This window comes from Homo sapiens, chromosome 9 (assembly GCF_000001405.40).
Source record: "Homo sapiens chromosome 9, GRCh38.p14 Primary Assembly".
In the NCBI taxonomy this organism is placed as follows: domain Eukaryota; kingdom Metazoa; phylum Chordata; class Mammalia; order Primates; family Hominidae; genus Homo; species Homo sapiens.
This window is the reverse complement of record NC_000009.12, coordinates 115,119,362-115,140,883: the sequence shown is the minus strand read 5'-3', so window position 1 is coordinate 115,140,883 and position 21,522 is coordinate 115,119,362. Positions and strand designations below refer to the sequence as shown.

The 21,522-nt window shown below is 40.5% G+C and overlaps 2 long non-coding RNA genes across 2 annotated transcripts in view, besides 2 other annotated features; one reads left to right on the top strand and one right to left on the bottom strand.

Moving 5' to 3' along the window:
* The first annotated feature begins 2,474 nt into the window (after positions 1 to 2,474).
* Positions 2,475 to 21,345, top strand: LOC101928748 (uncharacterized). Its single transcript, NR_110950.1, has 6 exons — positions 2,475 to 2,794; positions 12,974 to 13,137; positions 13,257 to 13,934; positions 14,461 to 14,577; positions 18,012 to 18,087; positions 21,176 to 21,345. It is a non-coding gene; the product is annotated as an uncharacterized LOC101928748 (long non-coding RNA).
* Positions 7,508 to 8,008: an enhancer, noted in NCBI's record as "H3K4me1 hESC enhancer chr9:117895155-117895655 (GRCh37/hg19 assembly coordinates)". NCBI's record gives its function as "activates a minimal SCP1, AML or CMV promoter by ChIP-STARR-seq in naive H9 embryonic stem cells {active_cell/tissue: H9 hESC(naive)}" and the evidence as "EXISTENCE:reporter gene assay evidence [ECO:0000049][PMID:30033119]".
* Positions 8,009 to 8,509: an enhancer, noted in NCBI's record as "H3K4me1 hESC enhancer chr9:117894654-117895154 (GRCh37/hg19 assembly coordinates)". NCBI's record gives its function as "activates a minimal SCP1, AML or CMV promoter by ChIP-STARR-seq in naive H9 embryonic stem cells {active_cell/tissue: H9 hESC(naive)}" and the evidence as "EXISTENCE:reporter gene assay evidence [ECO:0000049][PMID:30033119]".
* LOC124902255 (uncharacterized) overlaps positions 18,340 to 21,522 on the bottom strand; it is a 35,154-nt gene continuing 31,971 nt past the window's right edge. The window contains exon 3 of the long non-coding RNA XR_007061746.1: positions 18,340 to 19,928. This is a non-coding gene — a long non-coding RNA (uncharacterized LOC124902255). The remainder of the gene's footprint in view (positions 19,929 to 21,522) is intronic.

Here is a 21,522-nt window from a genome sequence, read left to right as displayed (position 1 = left end):
GAGATAAGGAAATTTTCAGATTCTCAGCTTTCATTTGCACTCTTTCTCAGGAATCTGAAGAGAGTCCCTTTTTCGTAAATGCTTTTCTCTCACTTTACAAATGGAATTCATACCTCTCACTCATCTCGAGTTGCTTTGGGGTATAAAAATTTCTGGGGGACCAAACAAAGGTACAACTCAAAATTCTTTCGAGAAAAAGTGTTGAGAAAGTGAATGACTAATGACCTTGCAGCAAATCATTCTGCAAGTCAGATGACTTTCAATGCTTTAGTTACAACAAAACTGAAGGGGAACCTAATTAAAATGTCACCTGAGAAAGTATTAAAAATCCTATTTGATGATTGATCTTTATGTGATTTTTGGCATACAACCTGGTAAGAAGTTATAACACTGCTATAAGAAAAGTTTTTCTTTTCCCATCTACTTATTTTTGTGAATAGGTTTCTCAGTGCTTACAACCAAAAAATGAAAAGTAAATAAAATTTATGAAATACCATCTCACGTTAGCAATAATGAATATTCCTCAGCAGACATATGGCCTAATTTTTTAAAAAGTTCACCTCATTCAGAGAAGCATTTCTAATAAAACCTTATGTTTCACATCACATTTAGCAAAATTTTAATAAGTGTATGGTAGATTGATCAGTTGTATACATCTAATAATTGTTATGATAATTTAATCCAGAAGAAATTGGGTTTTGTTAGCATCTTATATTTACAGAACATTAAAGAAATTTTAATATGAATTTATATACATGTTTTGTTTCAGAATAATATAACAACATGATCAGTGAAAGAATTTCCAGTATAAAAAAATATACTACATTAGGAAACATTTCTATAGAGCAAATGAAATGGAAATAAACATTTAAGGAAAACAAAAGAACTATGTAAGTTTTCAACTGTTAGGGAAGATTCTACTTGTATATTTTTAAATGGATGAATGGTGGTATCAAATTAAAGTGGAATTTCAATCCATTAAATCTATTTATAATAGTTAGTTTTATTTTAAATGACTATATATTCAATATACTTTACATTATATCCCTCACAACTATTTAAACTTTTATAATAAAAGCACTTGTCAACTTAAAAACGTTCATATTTTTCCAAGAATATTTTAGAGAGCATTAAAGCGAACTACTAAGGACTGTATTTTATCAGAGTGAATTCACTTCAATAATTATAATAGGGGAATCAAATGGTAGTTGTTTAAGAAAATCCAATGTACTGATGGACAAATCTGTATAAAGGACGTGAGAATGACACATTTTCTAAGTATAAATGTTACACGTCAAGTTTGGGCTGCAATTGGACTAAGTCTACACTTCCTTATTTATCCTCAGCCAGCCAATCCAGGTCTTATAGCCCTACCCTTTGACCTATGCTACCCTGTGTAACTGGTTCCCTAATTTGGATTAGAAAACTGAAAGATTTTCAAACTCTAGGTCTTTGTTGATAGATTTAAAAAAAAATCTCTTTAATTATAGTATATAATTCTAGTGCCTAGGAATCAATGCCTTATCTAGGAAACACAAGCCAAGCAATATGTAGCTGCATCATTTCTTAGGATATTCCTTCCTTTTTTGGTCAGTTCTGATGCTCTCTTTTCTGAGCAGATTGCTGAGCTGGGGTGAAGGCAAGGCAAAGCAAGAAGGTGGTGGGAGGAAAAAAGGTATGTCATCTACCTACTGTTGTTTCAGTTTTAACTTGAATCTGCTTATCCACTGATTCATTCAGTAAAGTTTTCCTAAACACTTACTCTGCGCCACGTTCTGGGTTAGGATTGGGGGCTACCAAGGCCAAGAAGGTACAGGTTTTTCCCTTGAAGAGTCACAGTTTACTAAGGGAAAGATGAACTCAACAAATAATTGAGATGCTCTGCAATAAGCTCTATATTAGAAAAAACTCAAGGTTCCAGGGATCAGAGGATAGAATGATCAATTCTATAAGAGGTGGTAATATTTGAGCAAAGCCTTAATTAAGGAGTAAGAACTGAGGACAGTCCCAGCAGAAGGTACAGCACACATTTTAGCATGGGGCCATATGTGGTCATGACATTTTGATAAATAGAAAATATATCATATCTAAAGCAGAGGGTAGAGTCAGCACCTAGCAGGTGGAGGCAGGAGATAAGGCTAAAGAAGCAAGTTGGGGATAGGTCACAAAGGGCCATGAAAGTTGTCTTAGTCTTTTCAGGTGGCTGTAACGGAATACCATACAGTGGGTGGCTTATAAACAACAGAAATGTATTGCTCACAGTTCTAGAGGCTGGGAAGTCCAAGATTAAGGCAGCAGTAGATTCAGTGTCTAGTGAGGGCCCCTTCCTGGTGTCTTCTTGCTGTGCCCTTATATAGTGGAAGAAGAAAGGCGGCTATCTGGGGTCTCTTTTATGAAGGCATTAGTCCCATTCATGAGGACTCCACCTCATGACTTAATCACCTTTCAAAGGCCCCACCTCCAAATACCATCACATTGAGGATTTGGTTTCAACATGAACTTGGAGAGGACACAAACATTCAGACTCTAGAAAGCCTTACTCAACATTTGAAAATTGAACTTGATCCTTTGGGCAACAGGAAGGAACATGATGAGATAAAGACTTTAGAATGATAATCCGAGGTTAGAGGACATGAGAAAAATGCCTAATGCAGCACAGGATACAGATTCTCCAAAAAACTTTAATTGACCTTTCAACTTCCCTTTCTCCCTTAAAGAAAGCAGGGCTCTGAATCCCCAAGACAAAGTGCATCCAGTATTATATACTGAGAAGAGAAAATGAACCAAGAATAAGGTAAGAACTATTCATTTGTTTTATCAGTATTTATCAGGTGCCTACTCATGTACATATAATTCTGCTTTTTTTTTTCTCTTAAACAAATTTGTCAAATAAGAGCTATGGCCCCTACTTTATCAAAGTGGACACTGAATCACAGATGGCTTCAGTAACTTGTCCAAGCTCACATAGCTAATTAAGAATGAGCCTATTTACAAATCCAGCAGTCTGACTTACATGCACTTAACCATGGTGCCATCCCTCTGTAAGCAATATTATTATTTTACTGCTGTGGACTGTGAGAATAAAGACATGCCAAACCAATAGGGTAAGGGCCTCTAAGAGATGAACTTTGCCTGCTGTTAGCTCCATCTTAAGTGAGAGGGTGATATATGTATGTGCTGGCAGGCCAAGTCTGGAGATAAGGAGAGCACAGGCACGGTTTCCTGCTGAGGCCAGGTCTACAACAGAATTTTTTTGTTTCGATTGCCTCTATTCCTAAGCTGGAACTACCAGGCCCAAACAACAGTCACTTCTCCCTCTTCTCCCTACCTGCCAATTCCATTTCAGGATATTACTTCTCTCTACTCTTTACCCATATCCCATCAATCACCAAACCCTTGCAAGTTTGTCTTTAATATCACTAGACTCTGCCCAATTCCCTCCATCCCTGCAACTCCCACCCTGGTTTGAGCCACCATCCTTTCTTGCTTAAATGACTACAGCAGCCCCTTGCTGGTCTCTCCAACTCCAATCTGCTTGCAATTCTGCTTCACAATTATAGCCAAGATGATATTTTTCAAGCACAAATCTATCTTTATTCCTCCTTGTTGACATCCAAAAATGGCCTCCTATAACTTTTCTAGAAAAGAAGAGTTCAAAATCCTTCCCAGGGCTCTCAAGGTCCTACATGAGATTCTGCCAATTTCATCTGTCTCATCCAAACCCTCCCTCCATTCCTGACCCTCACTCCATGGACTTTCCCCAAATGCAGCATGCTGTTTCTCCTCTTCACACTCTGGTATGGATAGACATCTCTGCCTCTCTCCCACTGCCTCCTTTCTTCCCTTTTCCTCCCAAGCTCTAAATCATATTCAAGATTCTGTTCAAGTGTAATCCTCTCTAGCAAGCCTTCCTTCCCCACACCCTGAGCCACTATTAGTTCCTAAATCCTGTACTTTCCCTTTAATGACATTGATCACAATGGGTTACCATTGTCACTTTGCTTGTCTGTCTCCTGTTCTAAGCTATGAGCCCCTTAAGGACAAACCCCCTGGTTCATCTAAATTCCTCACTTCCCAGCACAATACTCAATGCATAGCAAGAGACAGGCAAATAGGTGTTAAACAAATGAATAAATATTCTCATTATCATCTTTAACTCCTAATGAATATTATACATTCTCCTAGTAGATGCTATGCATTTGCAAACTGGATGATTACAAAAGTTAAGTGAACTTGAACATTGCCATTAACTCATTAGGGCCACCCCCAGCCTCTCTCTTTCAAGTATGGTCAATGTGGCTTTATAATTGCCATAAGACCAAGTTCCGTTTAGTGGGGGAAACCCACATATCCAGCTCATTGGCAACTAGGGCTAGCAAATGCTCCTGCCACAGTTTTAAAAGTCTGAACAGTCTGTCTGACCATAGGTGAGAACAGGTGAATTTTTCACATCTGCACTTCACAACAGAAAAGAATCCACTCCAAACTCTGTGAAAGAAGAGCTCTTGTAGCATTTCCTTTTGGGGGGTGGGGATTTTCCAATAGATCAGGCTCCAGACTACTGAATGGAAACTATTTCCTCACTCTTCCCTCCATCCCCCCAACATACACACACACACACACACACACATACACACACACACACACACACACACACAGATGTCTAAAAATTTTTCTGAAATCAGGGATTGACTCAAGGAAAGGATGTGTTTCATTAGCTGTTCCATCAAAGGAAAGAGACACGGAGTCTGCTAAAGGTCAAGAGAGAAGAAGAGAAGGAGCCGAACACCGGTGGCCCAGATGCCCAGGCCCTGCCCCTCATTGTGACACACAGCTGTTTGGAAGCACAGTGTTGCAAATCTGATCCTAAAATATTTCATGACGTCGCTGGCGTTCTTTCTATCACGATGAAGCACAGAACAATACATGTCCTTTACTTCACAGTAAATGCCTGTGGCAGGAGCCCAAAATATTTAATGCTCTGACTCCTTTGATACAACACTGTTGAGATTTCCTAGCATATTTTTTTTTAATATAAGATGAACCTTGGATGGAGATTGCCTTACTTCAGTAGGGAAAAGAAATAGTCCAAGAATTTCAATAAAACTCACTTTGTTCTTACCATATTCAGAGAACTGTTATGTCACGTTGGTGGAGCATACAGAGCTAAATAAAGGCATAAATTTTAAGCCCTCCAGGAGTTTAAAATCTCAGAACCTCCATTTTACTCATTTTTGTTATTTTTTTTTTCAGAGACAGGGTCTTGCTATGTTGCCCAGGCTAGACTTGAACTCCTGGGCTCATGCGATCCTCCCACCTCAGCCTTCTGAGTCACAGGAGTACAGGAACATGCCATCACACCCAGTTTTATTTTTAATATGGGGCTGGTAACATCTGCCCATAGTCAATTTGGGAAGATTCCATGAACAAGAATTTATAAAACAATTATCCCAGTGCCTGCCACATAGAGGTTCATAATAAATGTTGCTCTCCTTATTTTATAATCTCATGAGAGGGGAACATAAGAAAGCAATTACTTAGGATCCTGGCAAAGTAGGGTAATCAAGGAATAGAGATAAAACTAAAATATAAAGCGGTATTCTGGGCTAAATATGGAGGAATGATTTATGGATCAGGTGGCATTTTGTTGCATATTAGAAGATGTAATGGCATTTTAGATAGAATGGGAAGGCTATCTTCTCAGAAGTCTATGTAACTGAAGTGCATCATTTGAGCATAAAAAGAAACACTTCCTGGCTTCGCTAGTCATTATTGTGTCATTTGTTAACATTATCAAATCTTTTCCATGTGGCTCTGCTTCCTATCCAAAAATAGCTTACAAACGAGAAGTTTAGATTCTAGTTCCCAAAGAATCCTCATCCCCTGTATCTTCCATAGATGCTGGTGGCGGGAAGGTGCTAAATCTCTTCATAGTAACTATACAGTGAGTCTATCTTCCTCTCTGAAGAAAGGAAACAGCTATCTAGTTCCCTGAGCATGGAGGGAGGAAGGACATCATTGTATAGGAGAATCCTTGGCAAAACAGAATCGTACCTAAGTAGGTAGAGAATCAGTGCCCACTCCGGCATGCATCATAGCCATGAGAGACTAGAATGTGTAGCAGATGTTGTATGTGGACTACGGCCTCAAGGATCACTTGACTAGAAGTCCCTAACCTAGTGCCAAGCACACTGGGGTGGCTGGTGGTGCCGAAATCCCTATGGAAGACCAGCAAGTTCTCATAAGGGTTAGCTGTGGGCAGTTCCCTTGTATATTGTGAAAATCTCTATTCCTAAGTGGACATTGTTATTTTTGGGAGGTCAGAAAAACCGAATAAATGCACACTGCTTAGCACACAGTACTCATCATGATCTCTCCCCTATGGATCATGTGCCCATCTCTCCCAAACTACTCACTGCTCCTGAAGTCTCTTCTATGCCTCTTTGCTTTTGCATATGCTGTATATTCTACCAGATTATCCTTCCCAAACTACTTTGCTTTGAGGATGTTTCAAAACTCAGAGATAAATCAGCTAATCCTCCCTATAGCCTGGGTTAGACAACCTACATCTAGCATGTACCTACCTCAGTCACAGGATTTATTCTGCTGCATTGTAATAACATTGTTCCTTGTCTTGTTTTCACACTTGACTGTAAGCTTCTTGAAGAGCAGGTACTGAATGTTTAGGTCCCTGGTTCCTAGCGTAGTATCTAGTAAAAGGGAACACCTGGAATTTGAGGCAGGAGGCAGCATGTGTATATTGGAAAGGCATAGAATTCATGCCCAGGTGAGAGATGAGAGGCTTTGGTAACTCATTTTACCTGTTTCACCCATTTGCTAAAGAGCAACAACAAGAGGAATCAGAAATGCTTCCATCACTCCTCAGTTGCTGGAAGATCTTGGATTAGTCATGCTTTCTGCAAAACATTAGCTATCTTCTCACTCGAACCAAACTAAACCATTTAGTAAGAAGCATCTGGCTTAGTGGTTAAGACTTAGGTCTTGCAGGAAGTGAGAGAGGAGTAGGAATCCTGGCTTTTCCACTTAGTAGCTGTGGCCCTGAAGTGAGCCAGCTTTGCTGATCTTCCATTACATCTGCTTTCAAGTGGAGAAGCTAATCTACACATCATCGTTTTAGAATTACATGAGGCAATACTTGTTAAACACATAACACAGTACTTATGTTATTATAACTGCTCAAAAATTAATAGCCATTTTGACTCTTTTACATTGCTATAGGCTGAATATTTGTATCCCCCTAAAATTATGTTGAAATATAATCCCCAATGTGATGGTAGTTAGAGGTGGAACCACCGGCAGGAAGGTGGTGAGGGCAGTGCCCTCATGAAGGAATTAATGCCCTCATGAAAAAGGGCTCAGAGAGCTTTCTTGTCCCTTCTGTCAAGTGAGGACACAGCAAGAATATGGCTGTCTATGAACCAGGAAGCAGGTCCTCACCAAACACTGAATTTGCTGGTACCTTGATCCTGAACTTCCCAGCCTCCAGAACTATAAGAAATAACATTTATATTGTTTATAAGCCACCCAGTCTGTGGTGTTCTAACAGCCTATAACAAAGACACGTATGAAATACAGACGCCCTGGAGATCTCTATAATTTATATATTTCTTCAAAAAGACTACGGAATATTTATCACCTGTCATAATAAACACAAGAAATAAAGACAGAAATATCCAGGCACCATTTTCAACAGAAGATACCAATATCCTTTTGGCTTTTTCTGTTTCTCAGCTTTTGTCCTTTTGAGAGATAGAACCACAAACAAGCCCCTCTCCTCCTGTGTGTTGGGGTGAGCTTGGGTCCTGGAAGGTGAAAGGCCAGCCCAGAGCTCATCAAGCAACTTTGGTCTCTCAGAGCCAGAGCTGCTGGCGATGTAATCCAATCTGGCTGCAGAGAATGTGACTAAACGAAACCCCATCTGCTGCGAGGTTTCCCTGGGTTCCCAGGAGGGACCTGAGCAGGATATGAGGCGGCGGCGGTGGTGAGGTGAGGGGTCTGCAAGGAAATGGTGCGATCCCCCATGTGTAATGTGTCTCACCGCAGGCCAGCGTGGGTCTCCCCCAGCATGACATCATCTTGGAGCTCACCCGGGCTCCGGTCTGCTAGCCGCTATAAACCAGGGTTTCTCAATCTCAGCACTATTGACATTTTTCAGCTGGATAATTCTTTGTTGAGAAGTGTGGGGGGAACTGCCCTGTGCATTGTAGGAGGTACAGCAGCATCCCTGACCTCCATTCACTAGTTGTCAATAGCATCTCCACCCAGCCTAGTTGTGACAGCCCAAAATGTCTCCAGTCATTTCCAAACAATGGGGGACAAAATTGCCCCCCGTCGAGAACGAGAACCACTGGCACCGAAAAAGTGGAACAAATCAGACTCCCTTTCTATTAAAAGCAAGGGAAAAAAATCCAGAAAAAAATAGAATACAGTAAGTTTCCAACTCCTTATGTAGTTTTAGAAATGAATTAAAAGTTGAGCAGCTAGCTTTGATGGTTCAGGTGAGAGCCTTCCAATAAAGAGGAAAACCTAGAAGTGATAATAAGTACCATCTACTTAGTGCTTTCTGTGTCCTAGGCATGGTGCTAAGCGCTTTAACTCATTGACCCCTCAAAAGAACACTGAAGGTAGGCGTCTGATCTCCCTGTCATAGGTAAGGACTCTGAGGCCCAGAGGTGTGAAAGTCTTGCCTAGAAGCATATAGCTAGTAAGGACTGAGATGGGATTTGAACACAGCTCTGCATGATTTTAAGGGAACTCAGAGCCATTTGGTTCTCTTAGTCCATTACTCTGGAGTCTGTATCCAATACCATAAAAATTTCAAGATCTGTGCTTTAAACCAGGGAGTATTTAATAGGAACTTCTACATCCAGCATCAGCCTAGACAGAAGGTGGGTGGATTTGAGTGGGAGAATCAGACTTTCCATGTCCTTACTTAAACAAGACTAATCCACATTTATAAATCAACATGAGATAGTATATAATTAACCCCTATATGGGTGGTAGATGTTAAAGGAGTATAAAGTAAATAACAGGCTGAATAGAAAGAATGCGTTTTAATAAGCATGCTTCTAATAAATTAGTGAAACTGTCTCTGAATGTGGTGGCTCATATCTCATGAGGCTCCCTTATGAGGACTTGGAGTGAAGTGCATGGGCTTGGCGTTGGACAATTCTGGCTTCTAATCCCAGCTCCAAAACTTACCAGCCGGGTGGCTTTTGGCAAAACACTTTACAGCTGGAAGCCTCAGTAAACTCCTTAGCAAAATACAGATTAAAATACTTATTTCAGGATTGATGGGATTAACTAAAACCAGGAAGTGGAAACTAATATAGAGTGTCTCATAGGCAATTGACTTTTCTTTCATTGCACTCATAGCTCTTTGGAATTACATGTTTATTTGTGTATTTGTGTGTTTAATGGTTGTCTCTTTTATTCTCTGCCTCTTCAGAACCTCCCATAGTACTTGGCATATAGTAAGTACTTATTTAAAATATGCTCAATGCATAGTAAACATTAGTGCACTTTCTTTCTCTGTAGTTCCTTCTATGACAATGAGTTTTCGGACATTAAAAATACTCAAGCAATGGAAATATAAGATTCTCTATCTCTTTGTGTCCCAATCATAGCCTCTTATGGTGACTGTACTGCAGCACTTATGACATTGTTTTACAATTACTGTTTCTTTGGTTATAAACTCCTTCAGGGCTGGATGGATCACTTTATTTTTTATTTTTTTATTTTTATTTTTTGAGATGGAGTCTTGCTCTGTCACCCAGGCTGGAGTGCAGTGGTGCAATCTCAGCTCACTGCAAGCTCCGCCTCCCGGGTTCATGCCATTCTCCTGCCTCAGCCTCCTCAGTAGCTGGGATTACAGGCGCCCGCCACCATGGATGGATCACTTTCAATCCCTATGACATGGTCCCATTACTTGCAGCCAAGGTGTGATACATGTCTGAATCTAACAAGTATTTGTAAAATAAAGATATTGATGCCTTAGGGGGCATTGGCCCACTGAATTGGAGTTCCAAAAAAATTATAGTTCCAGGCTTTGGCAACCCTAACTACTGCCAACCCTGCTCATACAACATCTAATCACCAAGAACAAAAGGTTGGGGCTGTTATTTTTATTGTTCCAGAAAAGTGTAGATAATTAATAACTCTGTATTGAATTTAATTGGCTGCTTTTACAAGGAAAGTTGTGAGCCAAATTTTCCATATCCAAGCTAGCACCTCAAAGGTGATTAGATTCTGCCATAAATTCTTATAACAAATATTTATAGAGTGCTTAGTATGAGCCAGCCACTGTTCAAGGTACCGGTTAAATCTTGTTGGATATTTTAAGGCTTGGAGAATGATTTTGACATTGAGCATTCTTCTCAGTTACCCAAAGGAAACCAGCTGTTTCTATTGGATTGCTTGAGGCAGACAGCAATAAGGGGCTCAGGAGTCTTGGAGACAAATTCTTAAACCTCTGGTCTCAGCATCCTGGTCCTTGGAGAAGGGAACATCTAATATACGAAGGAAACAGTTTATAAGCCAAGCCGTATATACTTCCTAACTAGAGGTTAGCATCCAAAACAGAATGCTTAGGCATTGGAAAGTTTATCATACCCATGGGTCTCATCTCCTCATCATGCAACTTTCATAAAAACAGGGAAAGCTATTACTTCAACTGCAATTGTTTTCTTTTGAAAGAAAGAAAACTACCAATTTCTGTGGCTGGCCAGAGAAGCTGGGAGATATATATATCTCCTCATAATGGGTACATTACAATACTTGAGGGTAAGATATATCTCACTTCTTTATTTCTTTCAACCATGCCATACTCCTTTGTGACGGTAGAAAATTCAGTCTCAGCTGTGTTGAGTGTTGCTTCTCTTGTCCACTAGTTTATTCAATAATCTAGAAGTCTTACATGGCCTAGAACATTTAGGAACCAGTTGCATGCCCCATTCCTCTCTGGCCATGGCAGATATCCTCAGTTTTGGGTCTGCACCCCTAGAAGTGAGTAGCTCTGCTTCTTCCATCTCCAAATATGATATTGGGATCCTGGTGACTCACTCAGGACACAGCCCCTCTGAATGCACTCTGTGGCATGACCAGTTCAAGTCTCCTTACTTCCTAAGACACTGCATTAGAAGAGAGTGTTTATCCCATCTCATGAAACCTGTGTCTCTACACACTATCCCATTGCATGTCTGTTGGGTTAGTTCTGCCCAAGGTCATAAATGTTAGAGTGATTCTGGGGTCCAAGTTCAGGTCTTTTCAATCTCTATGTTGGATATTTGTCACGATTCAACATCCTACATCCTCACTAGATCAGCATTATTCAAACAGCACTATTGACATTTTGGGACAAAGAATTATTTGTTGTGGGAGACCATCCTCTGCATTGCAGACTTTTAGTAGAATCTCTGGCCTCTGCCCACTTGATGCCCATAGCAAACCTCCAAACTCCGACAGCCAAAATGCCTGCAGACATTAGCAAATATCCTCTAGAGAGTAAACCATCCCTGGTTGAGAAACATTGCCCTAGAAGGTAAGCTCAAAAGGAAAGTGATTACATCTGTTGTGTTTGTGGCTATATCGCCAATAGCTATTAGCACAGGGCCTGTGTATCCCATCAATCTAAGTGCAATGAAGAAATGGTTGGAAGAATTAGTCAACAAAATAAATACAAATAAATATTATCATGCCCTTTCCTTTCTTCCTCTTCTTTTTCTTTCCCTTCTTTTTCTTTCCTTCAACAAGGAAAGTAAAGCAGTAAAACATTGATATGGTTTGACTATGTCCGCACCTAAATCTCATCTTAAATTGTAGCTCCCATAATTCCCATGTGTCATGGGAGAGACTGGTGAGGTAATTGAATCATGGGGGTGGGTCTTTCCCATGCTGTTCTCGTGATAGTGAATAAGTCTCATGAGAGCTGATGGTTTTAAAAAGGGGAGTTCCCAGGCCAGGCGCGGTGGCTAATGCCTGTAATCTCAGCACTTTGGGAGGCCAAGATGGGCAGATCACAAGGTCAGAAGATGGAGACTATCCTGGCTAACACGGTGAAACACCATCTCTACTAAAAATACAAAAAATTAGCTGGGTATGGTGGCATGCGCCTGTAGTCCCAGCTACTTGGGAGGCTGAGGCAGGAGAATCACTTGAACCTGGGAGACAGAGGTTGCAGTGAGCCGAGATCATGCCACTGCACTCCAGCCTGGGAGACAGAGCAAAACTCCCTCTCAAAAAAAGAAAAAAAAAAAAGGATGGGGGGGAGTTCTCCTGCACATGCTCTCTCTTGTCTGCCACCATGTAAGATGAGACTATTTTGCTCCTCCTTCGCCTCCCATCATGATTGTGAGGCCTCCCCAGCCATGTGAAACTGTGAGTCAATTAAACCTCTTTCCTTTATAAATTATCCAGTCTCTGGTATGTCTTTATTAGCAGCATAGAATGGATTAATACAAACATCCTCTGCAGGAAAACATAGTGAAGAGGATCCTGTGCAACATGTAAAGAGTTTTGGGTCCTAATCCCATATCTGACACCAGCTATTTATTATTGATCAAGTAACTTCCTCTTGCGCATGCCTTCATTTGGGACTAATAATAGTATCTATCCATAGAAATGTTATGAAGATTAAATGAAGTTAATGTATGTAAAGTTCTAAAAATGGTATCCAGCACATAATAAATGCTCAATAAAAATTAACAATCACTATTTACAGAAGATCCCCTGTGTCATAGAAGTGATAGCGTAAAACTCCATTCCCTTCCATGGGGCTCATTAGATAGCAACTATCCATTCACATGTTTGCCCAGGTGTAGTCTCAAGAACACCATGCCTTTTACCCCTGCTATCTGGTCATCTCCATGGCTCTCTAAGGGCCTAAACCTGAACTCTGATACACAATATCAGCTTGTGACATCTCTTTTATTGGGTGTCTTCCTGCTCTACCTAGGTTCTACCATGGTGTTGATATCAGTACAGTATCCACAGATGGGAGAAAAAAATTCATCTGCCAACCATGGCTGTCAGAACTGCAAGCATGGGGTTAACTCACTGTCCTTCACAAATACCCTGCCCCATACCAACCTGGCCTGTCTTTCCATCGCAAGAGTGACGGTGGGCAAAACCTTTTTAAATTTAGCCAAGGTCTGGTCTGGAATTTGTCTTTGTCACAGATTTGGTGATAGGGCTTATACTGTATTAAGTTTAATCATATTAAAGTATCATTTTTGTAGGTCAAATATGGCTGAACAGGAGCAATTTCATATGAATTACTTCTTAGATTAACTGAGCAAACAAGATTGCAACTTGCTAAAAGCCAAAGTACTTCCACTTCCTTCAAAAGCAACCACTTATGACTGATTTCTGCTCATTAAGCCAGACTCTCGGAAGATCTCTCCTTGGCAATACTTTACTAGTTTAAAGGAGCCACTGGCAAAATATACTTCAAAGTAAGCTTCCCTGGATTGGTCTTCCACAATGCAGCTGTCTCACTGATTCATCCTGGCCCCTGCCCACTCCTGTCCATGGGGATTATCAAACTTTCACCATAATTTCCTTATATAGTATTTCCACAAGGGAAATCCATCATCTGTCTCAAACGATGAGTCATCTATCTATATTCACCCAAGAGCACTCCCCATATACCATTCATCTGCAAGTTGAGCCCAATGTGGGCCTGGGCAGGTGTTCCAAAGCATTTAGAAAGTCTTTGAAGTTCTCCTACAGAGGCTGCTTTCTGATACAGTGTCTGAAAAACTTGCCTGGCATCTCACTAGGGGGCTTCTTTGGTCCTCTGATACCACAGCCACATCGATGAGAGCACTGCACACATCCAAAACCGGAGAAAAGCAGGAGAGAGAGAGAAGCAACATTATACTGCTCACGGAAGCTCAGAGGGAGTAGAGAGCCTGGTGTGTGTTCACCTACTCCTCTCGGTCCCCTTTTTATGTCCTTTCTAAGTGAAGAAGCCCAATCCGTGTAAAGGATTTTTTTTAAGCAATAAATTCCTTTGATTTTGGCTGGTTCTACACCAATCTAGGCAAGCTTCTTCCTCCATGTGGAACATAGTTTCACAAATGAGCAGACCTGGATTTTAGCTCAGAGTGGGCAAGACAAGCAACTGCTTTGGGCCCCATTTTCTTATCTCTAACTTGAGCAGGATTGTCTCATAGCTCTTTTCACACTTGTCAAAGTGTGCTGTGGGTGAATCCTCTGAATTATGGATGAGCAGGGACCCAGATAAGCCTGCCACTTGCTGGGTTCAGACTGACCCTGGAATGATAGGAATGTCATGTATAAGTCCAGATTTACTCCTCACTGTGGGCTAAACCACTCGACACTGCAAAGCTCCCATGTCAACAGGCCACTTCAAAACTGTCGGGCTAATGATGGAGGTTGCAACTCCCTCCAACTTCCCTTTCCTTCTCTGTCTTTCAGCCTACAACTAAAATGTCATGTTAAAGGAGCTGTGACAAAAAAAACTACTTGAAAATCTAGCAATGTGCATTTACATCATAGAACTACATCTCTATGGAAAAGCATTCCAGTTTCAAGGTAAGTTAATGCCATTTCTCCCAGAAAATAATCTCTTGGACCAATACTAACCATTACCATTTTTAAAAATTCATTACTTTTTGTAGGTACATAGTAGGTGTATATATTTACAGGGTACATGAGAGGTTTTGTTTAATAATCATGTCATGTAAAATGCGGTATTCATCCCCTTAAGCATTTATCCTTTGTGTTACAAATAATCCGATTACACTCTTTTAGTTATTTTTAAATGTACATTTAAATTATTACTGACTATAGTCACCCTGTTGTGCTATCAAAATACTACATCTTATTTACTCTTCCTAATTATTTTTTGTACTTATTAACCATCCCCACCCCCCAGCCCTCCTCCCAGAACCTTCCCAGACTCTGGTAACCATCCTTCTGCTCTCTATCTCCATGAGTTCAAGTTAAGCATTCCTGTTTTTAAGGCCCTGTTATGCACAACACAAAGATACTTTCCCATTTATTTCTTGTATTAGTTTTATATTGCTACTCTAACAAGTTACCACAAACTTAATGACTTAATAACACAGAAATGTATTCTCTTACAACTATGGAGACCAGAGGTCTGAAGTGAGTTTTAGTAAGCTAAAATCCAGTTGTCAACAGGCCTGGTCTTTCTGGGGGCTCCAAGGGAGAATCCATTCTTTGCCTCTTTCAGTTTCTGGTGTCTGCTGGCATTCCTTGGCTTGTGGCCACATCACTCCAATCTCTGTTCCTTGGTCACACTGCCTTCTCCTCCTCTGTAGTCAAATCTCTCTCTGCCTTCCTCTTATAAAGACACTTTTAAGTATATGCAAAATAGTCTCCCCACCTCAAGATCCTTAACTTAGTCACAACTCCAAAGTCTTCTTTGCCATACAAGATAATATTCACAGATTCCATGGATTCAAACACACATCTTGGGAATCCTTACTCAGTTTCCCATGGCCCTTCCTTTATCCCTGTAAAATAAGTATTCTCACTCCTCTTTTACAGACTCAGATACAAGATGGGGTCACATAAGTGAAGGAAATTGAAAAAAGGTCAAACACTAATAAATGGTAGAGCTAAGATTGATCCCATCTGTCTAGTATCAGATCATGAGCTTCTTCTTTATACCACTGTACCCCATAAAACTGATAAAATAATACTCTTTATAGATGGTTCTGTAATGGAAACCTGAAGAGCCCAGTAGCTCAGTAATTTTCATATGCGGACCTTCTGTGAGACCACATACAAGCTGTGTGACTTTCAGCAAGTCTCTTGATCCCTCCTCACCTCAGCTTTCTCACTTGTATTAGGGGAATGGCCTGGCGTGAGGACTGAGATAATGCCAATGCCTTGTCATGTTATTAGCAAATACAAGTGGGTATATTTGTCACCACCCCTACCATTGGAAGGCTGTGGGGCAAGGAAGTAGTCAAGGTTAGGACTGCCTAGTATGTGCTCACTAAAATAAGGAGGGTCAATTTACTCTCCTCCTTAGGAAGGGTAAGGGACAAAGGGCCAGCCCAGAGTACTTCCCAAGGAGGAGAGTGACTCAAATACCTATGTGATGCCAATCCATCAACCTCTAGGCCCTGCCGAGGGAGCTTCTGGCTCTGAGGCAAGTGAAACCACCCAGCTGACTCTGGATAGGGTAAATTTTTCCACCTGAGAAACAGAATGTACAAGGCTTGAAAGACGATTAAAAATAATAATGCCTGCTATTGACTGGATGGGCAAATGTAGTTCTACTTTTCAAAGGAAGTTCAAACTATTTCTCTCTCAGAGCAATACTAAACATCCCTTCAGTAAAATACTCATTTCAATGAGCTCTCTCTCTCTGTGTGTGTGTGTGTGTGTGTGTGTGCGTGCGTGCATGTGTACTGCATGTGTATAGCAGGATGGAGGGGAAATTTATGAAGAATATTAGAGCACACAGGGTGACTAGTACAGTTCGGTCAATCTGAAAATCTTATGTCCCATGATGAAAAGAGCTGTATATTTTTATTTGCATGTACATTTGTTTTATTAACCCTTCTTATTTTAGTGAGCACATTTCTGAAACATACCTCTGACATTATCTTTTCCATCATTTTACAGATGAGAAAGTAAAGGCTCACAGTAGAATAAGTGACTTATCTACAATAGCCAAAGGCCACTATTTTGAGATTACTTAGAATGTGGCAAGCAACGGCATAAGCATTTGACTAAGTATTGTTCTTTTAATCCTGAGACTAGCTCCAAGGAGTATCAGTTATCATTGTACCCGTTTTACAGATGGAGAACTTATAAGAAAGGTGTTAAGTAATTTACCCAAGGTCCTACTCCTTTTTGTAGCTATTATTGGTTAAATTAAGGTTTGAAACCAAGTGCATGCTAGGTAATCCCAAAACTCCAGGATTGGCACAAATAGACAGGGACAAAGGAAAATAACCAAAGACAACCTTGCCTCCTCAGATCTTTATGTGCAAGCTCCAAATCACTCAATCTAGTTCATGAATCAAAGAATGCCATCTTTGCCTTTGGGCAATTGTTACATTAAATACATAAGAAAGCACCCATAATAATAGACAACTGGGAGCTGGAGTCCTCTTGGTGGGTTTGAATCCTCTTGCTACTATTTATTACCCATGCACCCTGGACATTTCCCTAACCTCTCCATGTCTCACACCCCCCATCTGCAAAATGGGAACAATGATAGGACTAACCCAAAGGCTCATTGTAAAGATTAAATAATTTAATACATCCAAACTGCTTCAAGAGTGCCTAGATCACAGAAAATACTCAATCAGTGTTAGCCACTGTTATTCTTTGTGGTCCACAAAAGAAATCTTAAGAAACCTAAGAGAGAAGGAAAACAAGCAAATTATACTTCCTCACAAGTATCCAACCCAGCTGTGGAAAATCAAAGAAAGAAATTCAATTTGCATTGATTTCAAAGCTATATATTCCCTCTGTGACCTGTATTAAGCCCAAGATGGTTTGAGCCATTTGTATTCATCACCTCAGCCTGAGCTCAGACCGGTAAACATGATCAAAACTGCCTCCGAGCCCTCTGTTGGAAATATACAACTCCACATCTTCTAATTTAGCTTGGGCAATGCTAGTTTTTTAAACTTTTCCTCTTTCCCTTCAACCTCCGAAGAGGCAGCCTTTTGAATATTTTAACAAGACAGCACCAGGTGGCTTCAACTCCCCTCTCCCTGCTGCCAGCCCCTGCAAAGCCCAGAAGTGCTTCAGATAGAAGCTGGGTTCCGTGCTTTCATAAACACAATATAGCTATGCAGAGATTGAGCTTTTTGTTGGGATTTGGGGGGTGGGGGGCGGGGAAGGGAACTACATCATTTAGCATCAAAAAACTCTACATAGGGCATCCCAGCTTACTAAGCACTTTGTCTTACACCCTCTTACTTGGTCTTCATACCAATTTTGAAAGGTACTCAAGGTACAGATTTTTATCTCAGTTTTATAAAACAGGAAACCAGATGAATCCCAAGAAGAAGAGGAGGAGCTTCAGAGAGGGGACATGCTTTTCTCAAGGTAATTCACATTGTAAGCAGTTGGGCCAAATAGAACCCAAGACTGTGTGCTAATATCATATATTTTCCATTATGCAGCCAATTAGTTGATCAGTCAATCATTTCATAGGAACATTAATCAACCTCCAAGTGCTTTGGGTCTGTACAGGTGAAAAGCACAGTCCTTGGCCTCAAGGAGTCCTCACAGACCAGCTGGGCAAATGAATGAGTAAATTGATGATAACAATTAAGGTCTCTAATCATTTCATAAAAGTCACTTCAAGAATGCCTTTATTGCTTACCTCCAAAATCTGTGACAGGTCGTATGCTATTCTAAACACTATGATATGTAGGAATGATATTCAAAATAATTAACAAATAACATGACATAGGCAGCAGCCATCAACAGATGCTGGCAACAAAGAGAACTGCTGACAAACAGATGGAAAGGCACAGTGTCTACCCTCAGGTGTCCATGATCTAGCAGGGTAAACAGGCAAGAGAAATAAAATGTGCAACATACTAAAAGTTAAAAAATGGTGGTGTAGATGAGCATGAAGGAGAGGCCCTTCTCTCTGGATGTGAGGGTCATAAAACTTTGTTAGAAGAAGCACTATGAAGGAACTCTTGAAAAAAATAATAAAGGAATTTGTCATGGCAATAAGACAGGGTTCTTCCTAGGGAAGTGAATGTGCAAAGGCTTGGAGACTTCTAAATTATTTCTTTAAAGATTTTACTTGAGAGTTTTGAGTTGCTATAATCCCTGGGAATTCCCCACTTGCTAACCAGGACCCTGTGTGTCAGCGGGGAAAGCGATTTTCCCAAAGTCACACAGCGAGTTGATGCAGCATCAAGACTTAGACACTCAACCAATGCTCTCCACTCTGCTGTGCTGACCAGGCATGACTTCTTGGTTGATGGCGCAGCTAAATTGCCATAGTCCATCCATCAGAGAAGCTCTCATATGTCTTGCCACACACTCCATATGGTCTTTGAACTTGATTTTGTCCTTTGTTGTCGAAGGAAAAGCAAGAAGAGTTGGAAAAGACCACTCAACAATGATCTGCAAGCAAGTTGGGAAACCTTGACTCTAACAAAATGCATTTAATTAAATGACTGGCCCACTGTGTGGGATCAGAGATCCATCCCGGCTTTGGAAAAGATTTCTGGTAATTATGGAGTCACATGAGACTTTTGGACTGGAGTTAGCACACCAGATGAGATGAATCCCGGGAAGAGGAGGAGGAAGGTTGGGAACAGTGAAGGAGTATGTAATCAGAGTAGGAAGCAGGGGATTCCATGGGGAAGTGGACACTCAGCTTCCTCAGCACTAGTCCTGGCCAAAATTCCACTCATTGTCTGTTCTGTCTGGAAGAAAAAGTATTACATTTAACAGACCTTTAAAGAAATGAGAATGATCTCACCTGAGGCAAACCATGACATTCCTCTGGTCTCTAAACCACAGCCTCCACCAGCAACTCCTGAATAAGAACTGCAAACAAGCAACAACAAAATCAGTCTTTGGCAGGAAGCTCTGTGCAGGGGTGGTGTTTACATGCATTCATTCTACCCTCTCAAGTGGAAAAAAGTGCTTATGCTTCTCAGAAGGATGCAACCATGAGGGATTAGATGCCAAGAGGTATGGCCTCTGCCAAACAGGAGGAAAAATGGTTCTTCATTTCCATAAACTTCCTCTGCTGTAATGTCTAGTGTGGCTTGGTTGCTCAGTTCTGATTGTGACAGTTTTCTTCCTGGAAAGCAGGCATAGTGGCTTCAGACAAGTCATTCTTCCTCTCAGCACCCCACTTTCTGATCTGTGCGATGGAAGCATTGGACACAATAATCCAGTTTCCTTTTCAGGTTCTATGGTTGTAAAAGGAAGAATTTAATTATAAAGCACAACATGTCAAACATTTATTTGTTCCTCCATTACTTCATTCATTCTATAAACATTTACTGAGCTTCTATGATACCCAAGGCTCTATGCCAGGTACAGAAAAAGCAAGTGTGATCACCAGCCTCAGGAAGCCTAGCATCTAGGAGGAAAATCTAGACATGCACATGTGTAATTATACCATGTAGATGCAATGGATGTCCTAATAGAGTTACAAATGCCATAGTGCATAGAAACATCTCTTCCTAGATGGATTTCTTCCATTTAGGAAGCTCCATAGTGAAGTCAGATCAGAAATGGATGATAAATAGATGTGAGGGCATGGAGGTGAGGAGCCTAGGGCATCATCCTAGCATGAACAAAGTTTGGGTATTGTAGAGTACCTGGTGCATATGGACCCATCTACCAGAAACAGAGGCTGCGAACAGTACAGGGATGGAAAACACGTCCTCGTCTGGGCACTCCTTACTCAAATGCCAAAAAGCTTAAGATGCCACATAGCTTTTTGGAGAAAATGCCTTTTACAAGTAGCCTCTCCTAAAAATGCATAAATCATCTCTTCTCTATGTTATCAGAATACACTTATATGATAGTTGTTAACTTAACCCATAATAGTATTCTTGTTTGTCACCTCTGCTAGCCTTTTCCTGCTTTGAGGGCCAGCCTGGTCATATTTGGCTTAGTTTCCCTGTGATTGACCATACCACTTGTGGTAGACACTAATCAACGATTGTAGAATCCTAAAGAACTGGGGAGAGGAGTTCGAGTTTGAGACATTCCCCGAAAAAGCCATATCTATCTAGTTTTCTAGCATGCGCTCTTGTCTTATTTAAAAACTCACATAGAATTATAAATATATTGATTATATGTTCTATACAAATATAGTTTATATACCATATGACATATATTGTACACTATTCTAATATTTTAATCCCTAACCCAAGAGATTAACTCAGTAGGAACCACTCACTGCTGGTTGAGACACAGCTTCATGCTACTGAAATATCCTTTGGCTAAAGCACAGAATTTAAAACTTCCCAAACAACCAACATTTGAATCAGCCAAAATGGATCAAAAGTTCAAATGAGCGGTTTTATGACATGACTATTTATGGGCTTTCTTGCTGTCTGGGAGGGTCACTTTAGCAGAGAATCCTAAAATACTACAGCCAAAGCAACCGTAGGATGACCTAATCGTGTCTTGCTTTTTTTTTCAGATGGGGAAACTGAGGCCCACAGCAACAATAATAACTGTGGGGATGATATCATTTAATATTGAAAATAAGTGGATAATTGAGACCTCCATTATTAGTAGTTAATTTTTAAAAATCAAAGATCTCTCCTAATTAGCTTTATGGAGCAAATAAATATATTTTCCATATTCAAATATGGCTGTGATTTCTACACAAATGGTGTTAACAATCTAATACAGCATAAAACATTGTTTAAATATCATCATACCCTATTCCTAAACAGTAACGTGTAATAGATCTCTGGAGCCCAGTGTTGTAATATAAACACTTCCCAGGTGTATTCCCTTGGTAAAGTTTCATTACTTCTCTAA